Below are 6313 nucleotides of genomic sequence, written 5' to 3'. Positions count from 1 at the left end.
AGGTTCCAAAAGAAAATCCATTTCCTTGAGATTTCCCTCTTCTAGAGGCTGTGGTATTCCTTGGCTTATGGCTTCTTCCTCCATCTTCAAAGCCAGCAGCACAGTATCCTCCAGTCTCTCTCTCTCTCTCTCTGACCTCTGCTTCCCTCTTCACATCTCCTTCTCTGACTTTGACACTCCTACCTCCCTCTTATAAGGACTCTTGTGATTACTTAGAACCCATCAGGATAATCCAGGATCATCTCATCTCAGGATTCTTAACTCATTATAGCCGCAAAGTCCCTTTTGCCATGTTAGCTAACATTTACCGTTTCTAATGTTTAGGACATTATGGAACTACAATTCAAGATGAGATTTGGGTGGAGACACAGCCAAACGATATCACCCATCTTGGTACCAATCATTATGGCTGAAGGACTTGGCCGTTCCTGGATTAAATGTCCACCCATGGTTGGAATGGGATCTCCACCCTAGAATCCCATCCTAATCTAATCACATGGAGTTGCCATGGCTGTTCCAGAGAAAAGGACGTGTCCAACAGACCAAAGGCAATCCATGGCCACAATTAGAACCGAGCCCTGCCAATGGCTTAATAATGATCCCTCATGCTGTTCAAGATACAGACATCAGAATCCCTGGAGTCTATGAATATGTCTGAATTAGTTTTCTGTGGCTGCTATAACAAGTTACCACAAACCAGGGGCTTAAACAACAGATACTTATCCTTACCCAGTCCTGGAGTCCAGGAGGCTGAGATCAAGGTGTCTCAGGGCTGTACTCCCTCAGGAGGCTATAGGGGAGGATCCTTCCTGCCTCTTCCAGACCTTGGCAACTCCAGGTGCTCCTGGGTTTTTGGTTGTATCACTCCAGTCTCTGCCCCATGGTTTCATGGTGTTCTCCTCTGTGTGTGTCTGTGTCCAAATTTCCTCTTTTCATAAAGACACCAGTCATGGGATTACAGCCTATCCTCCTGCAGGATGACCTCATCTAAACTAATGACATCTGTAAACACTGCATTTCCAAATAAGGTCACATTCACAGATGGAGAGGGGATAGATCTTCCACATATGAATTGTGGGGGAAGAAACACCAGTCAACCCTTAACCACCTTGTATAATGTCACCTTGTATATTAGTCTATTTTCACACTGCTGATAAAGACATACCCAAGCCTGGGCAATATACAAAAGAAAGAAGTTTAATGGACTTACAGTTCCACATGGCTGGGGAAGCCTCAATCATGGTGGAAGGCAAGGGGGGGCAAGTCATATCTTACAAGGATGGTGGCAGGCAAAGAGAAAAGAGCTTGCGCAAAATCATCAGATCTCGTGAGACTTATTCACTGTCACGAGAACAGCATGAGAAAGACTTATTCACTATCACGAGATCAGCATATCACGAAAGACTTATTCACTATCACGAGAACAGCATGAGAAAGACGTGAGACTTATTCACTGTCACGAGAACAGCATGAGAAAGACCTGCCTCCATGATTTAATTACCTCCCACCGGGTCCCTCCCACAACACTTAGGAATTCAAGATAGATTTGGATGGGGACACGGCCAAACCATATCACACTGCATGGCAAAACAGACTTCTCAGATTTCATGAAATTAAGTGTCTTAATATGGGGAGGTGATTCTGGATTATTTGGGTGGGCCTAATGTAATCATAAAGTCATTTTTTGTTATCTGAACAGTTGGTTCTGAGGGTTTTTTGTTTGTTTCTTTTGTTTTGTTTTGAGACAGGGTCTTGCTCTGTTGCCCAGGCTAAAGTGCAGTGGCACCATCACAGCTCATTGCAGTCTCAACTACCTGGGCTCAAGCAATCCTCCCACCTCAGCCTCCCAACTAGGTGGGACCACAGGCATGTGTCACCACTTCCAGCTAATTTTCTAAAATTTGTGTAGAGACTGGGTTTTGCTATGTTGCCCAGGCTGTTCTCAAATTCCTGGGCTCAAGCAATCCTCCCACCTCAGCCTCCCAAGCTCCCTTGGGACCACAAGCGCACACCAACACACCCAGCTAATTTTTGTATTTTTCATAGAGATGGGGTCTCACTATGCTGCCCTAGCTGGTCTCAAACTCCTGGCTTCAAGCAGTCCTCGCATTTGGCCTCCTAAAGTGCTAGGATTACAGGTTTGAGCCACTGTGCCAGGCAATTTTTAAAACTTTTAACTTTTATGAATATATCAGAACTGCACAGATCTATGGGATTGGTGTGATATTTTTGATACAAGCATACAATGTGTAGGCATCCAATCTGGGTAACTGGGCTATCCGTTACCTCAAATATTTATCATTTATTTGTGTTGGGAACATTTCTAAATATACTCTTCTAGTTATTTTGAAATATACAATTGGCCAGGCACAGTGGCTTATGCCTGTAATCCCAGCATTTTGGGAGACCAAGGTGGGCGGATCACCTGAGGCCAGGAGTTCCACAGTGGCCAACATGGTGAAACCCCGTCTCTACTGAAAATACAAAAATTAGCCGAGCATGGTGGCGGGCGCCTATAATCCCAGCTACTCAGAAGGCTGAAGTGGGAGAATTGCTTGAACCTGGGAGGTGAAGGTTGCAGTAAGCTGAGATGGCACCATTGCACTCCAGCCTGGGTGACAGAGCAAGACTCTACCTCAAAAAAAAAAAAAAAAAAAAAAAAAAAAACCCAATAAATTATTGTCAAAAAAGCAAATGTTTGACTGGGCACAGTGTCTCACGCCAGTAATCCCAGCACTTTGGGAGGCCAGAGCGGGTGGATTACTTGAGGCCAGGAGTTCAAGACCAGCCTGGCTAACATGGTGAAACCCTGTCTCTACTAAAAATACAAAAATTAGCTGGGTGTGGTGGTGCACACCTGTAGTCCCAGCTACTTGGGAGGCAGAGGCAGGAGAATCACTTGAACCAGGAGGCGGAGGTTGCAGTGAGCCGAGATCATGCCACTCCAGCCTGGGCGACAAGAGCAAGACTGTGTCTCAAAAAAACACAAAAACAAAAACAAAAAACAAACAATCTGCAAACATTTTAAAAGGAAGAAAGCCTTGAGGTTAAAGGTCATCTCCAGGCTGAATACCTCACCCTCTGTCCTTGGCCTCCACGTCACCCCATGCCACTATCATGCTATCCATTAAAAAAAAAAAAAAAAAAAAATCACATTCCCTTAGACCATCGTGAGAACCTGGAACAGAAGGATGACATGTTTTCTTCTTTGTTTTCAGAAACCATAGCACATTCCCCACCCAGAGAACATGCTCAAAAGGAAAAAAAAGAAGATTCAGAAGTGTTCATCTTCTTTTTTATATTTTTTTAAATTTAAAAACCTCAACTTTCCTCCATACCTGTAAGACCTATGACATGAGCAGACATGCTTTAAAGGTAGAGGTTCTGGCTGGCTTAGAAGCACCCAGGATTTCTGCAGAAAACCTCACTGGGGCTTTTAAAAAATACATTCTTTAAAACTTTCTTGTATGGCTCTTTGCTTTTGTTTTTTATTTTGTTTTGTTTTGTTTTTGGAGACAGGGTTCCGCTCTGTTGCCCAGGCTGGGGTGCTGTGGTACAATCACAGCTCACTGCAGCCTCCAACTCCCAGGCTTAAGCGATCCTCCAGCCTTAACCTCCAGAGTAGCTGAGGCAAGAGACGCAAGCCACCATGCCCGACTAATTTTTCTTTTATGTATAGAGATGGGGTCTCCTATGTCGCCCAGGCTGGTCTCCAACACCTGGGCACAAGCAATCCTCCACTTTGGCCTCCCAAAGTGCTGGGATTATGGCTCCTTGAGAGTTAGGTTCCCTTTGAGTCAAACTGTGGCAGGCCAGGCTTCCATTAGCAGCCGGAGCAACCAGTTTTTCCACTAACGCTTTATTATAATTCTGATGATGCACAAGTTAAACACGTCATACCAGGGCTCACTGAAGATTAAGCGTCTAGAGAAAACTTCCCAGACCCCAGACCCTAGTTAAAGATTAGACAGGAACCGAATGAAATACTCCCGCTCGTAGGTGCAATCCTACACGTGGGCATAGAGCTTAAAATGCATAGAAACCCTGGAAAAAACTTGTCACTTTGAGCTGACCTGGTGAGTTAATCTGACCTTCTCCCTGTAACCCGTTGGAGAAATAAATCCCCTTCTCCCCAGTCTGTCTGCACCTCATTGTTGAGCCCCAAGAACAAGCAGCCAGCACTCGTTCATTCGTCCGGGAGCAAAACCTTTGTTAAAGAAAAAACTATTCAGTGATACTAGGTTGGTAATTGCAGTTATTACTTTTGCACGAACCTCGTACTTGGGAAAGCATCACCAAAAAGATAACGAAGACATTATCCAGGCTTATCGTGTGAAGTACAGGGACCACTGCAATGGCGGTTCACAGTGCAGGAGAGGCTGGGCTCAGCTTCCAATATGAACACAGCAAGGGCAAGTGGGAATGTACAGCCACGGGGGCAGGCAGCGGGTGTACAGATGGCAAAGCACTAAAAGGAAACATCAGAGGTGAAGCGGGTCCTGGCTAAACCAACCTGGCTTGTTAAAGCCAGCCAAGGGGGTTAAACATCAACCAGGGGTGGTGGACGACGAGGAACATGATATCAAGAATGGTGGCTTCTCGCCAAACTGACTTAGCCGGTACTTTGCTGAAATCTAATTCTATAAGGAAACGCACCACCGGGCCTGGGAGGGGCTTCAGGAGCCTGGCTACGGTTTGGCCAGGCAGAGACTTTTTGTCACATCTCCTTCTCACCTAAAGGTGTCCGCGGTGAATTCTTGCATCATTTCCTTTTCATGCATTTCCCCAGTCATGTGTTGCAAACCTAACCCTGAAAATACCAAGTATGCAGCCGGTCTGTGAGCTGAGGGAATATGCAGAGACCTGCAGAGAAGCAGCATTGTCTGCAGATTTAAAGAGGAAGGAAGCAGGACTCGGATAAGGAGGGGGCCAGCCAGAGGGGTGGAGGAGAGCTGACTTACAGCTGCCCTGCAGAGGGCCTACCTTTATCTTGGGGGATGCCTTCAAGTCCGGTCTTTGACTCTTGTTCAAGATAAGGGCTGGGATTTATGACGCGCTAGTTACAGTTCAAACCTCCCCCCTGACCCCAGAGTCTGTTTCTTTACTTAAGGTTTGCACATTTGCAAGTGGCCTAACCAGTTAGACAGCCTGGATGCACTGAATGAGCGGAGTGGCAACCGCCTCCCCTACCTCCTCAAATGTCTGGTTTGAGGCCCCCTGAAACCAAGATTCCTCTCACTGTCCTTCGTGTGCCAACCATGAGACAGAACAAATGAGACCCTGGGAAGCTCCTGCCCGGGATGTCTCCGAAGCTCCAACGCTGGCTGCATGCTCTTTCTCTCCTCGCACTCTCTCACAATCTTACACGAAATGAGCATGCTGTGTGGGGGCTGGGAAGTCCACTCAAATATCCAAACTAGAAACTGGCCGAGTGCAGTGGCTCATGCTTATCATCCCAGCACTTTGGGACACCGAGGTGGAAGGATCACTCAAGCCCAGGAGTGCGAGACGAGCCTGGCCAACACAGTGGGACCCCGTCTGTACAAAAAATATAAAATCAGGCAAGCGTGGTGGTGCACACCTGTGGTCTCAGCTACTTGGAAGGCTGAGGTGGGAGGATCTCTAGAGCCTGGGACGTCAAGGCTGCAGTGAGCTGTGATTGCACCACTGTACTCCAGCCTGGGTGACAGTCTCAAAAAAAAAAAAAAAAAAGAAAAGAAAAGAAAAACTTTGCGGGAAATTTTTCATATATTGACCTATTAGAAATCCAACTTCATGTTCCGTGAATGGAAAACCCTGCACCAAAATTAACTCAAAGTGGATCAGAGACCCAAATGTAAGTGCGATCTCTATAACATGTGCAGAAGAAAACAGAGGAGAAAGTCTTTTTCGTTTTGGGTTAGGAAAATAAGACACCAAAAGCGCGACCCATTAAAAAAATAAATAAATAAATAAATAAACTTGATTGAGTTTACCAAATTTCGGCTGGGTGTGGGGTGACTCATGCCTGTAATCCCAGCACTTTGGCAGGCTGAGGCAGGCAGATCACGAGGTCAAGAGATAGAGACCAGCCTGGCCAACATGGTGAAACCCCGTCTCTACTAAAAATACAAAAATTAGCTGAGCGTGGTGGCACGTGCTTGTGCTACTCGGGAGGCTGAGGCAGGAGAATCGCTTGAACCCGGGAGGGGGAGGTTGCAGGGAGCCAAGATCGGACCACGGCACTCCAGCCTGGCGACAGAGCAAGGCTCCATCTCAAACAAACAAAACAAAACAAAACAAAAATTTCTTTTTTTTTTTTTTTTTGAGATGG

The 6313-nt window shown here is 46.2% G+C and overlaps 2 annotated features.

Moving 5' to 3' along the window:
• Positions 4267-5062: an enhancer, noted in NCBI's record as "NANOG-H3K27ac-H3K4me1 hESC enhancer chrX:2815899-2816694 (GRCh37/hg19 assembly coordinates)". NCBI's record gives its function as "activates a minimal SCP1, AML or CMV promoter by ChIP-STARR-seq in naive H9 embryonic stem cells {active_cell/tissue: H9 hESC(naive)}" and the evidence as "EXISTENCE:reporter gene assay evidence [ECO:0000049][PMID:30033119]".
• Positions 5063-5858: an enhancer, noted in NCBI's record as "H3K27ac-H3K4me1 hESC enhancer chrX:2815103-2815898 (GRCh37/hg19 assembly coordinates)". NCBI's record gives its function as "activates a minimal SCP1, AML or CMV promoter by ChIP-STARR-seq in naive H9 embryonic stem cells {active_cell/tissue: H9 hESC(naive)}" and the evidence as "EXISTENCE:reporter gene assay evidence [ECO:0000049][PMID:30033119]".

This window comes from Homo sapiens, chromosome X (assembly GCF_000001405.40).
Source record: "Homo sapiens chromosome X, GRCh38.p14 Primary Assembly".
Taxonomy (NCBI): domain Eukaryota; kingdom Metazoa; phylum Chordata; class Mammalia; order Primates; family Hominidae; genus Homo; species Homo sapiens.
This window is presented reverse-complemented; position numbering and strand designations above follow the sequence as displayed.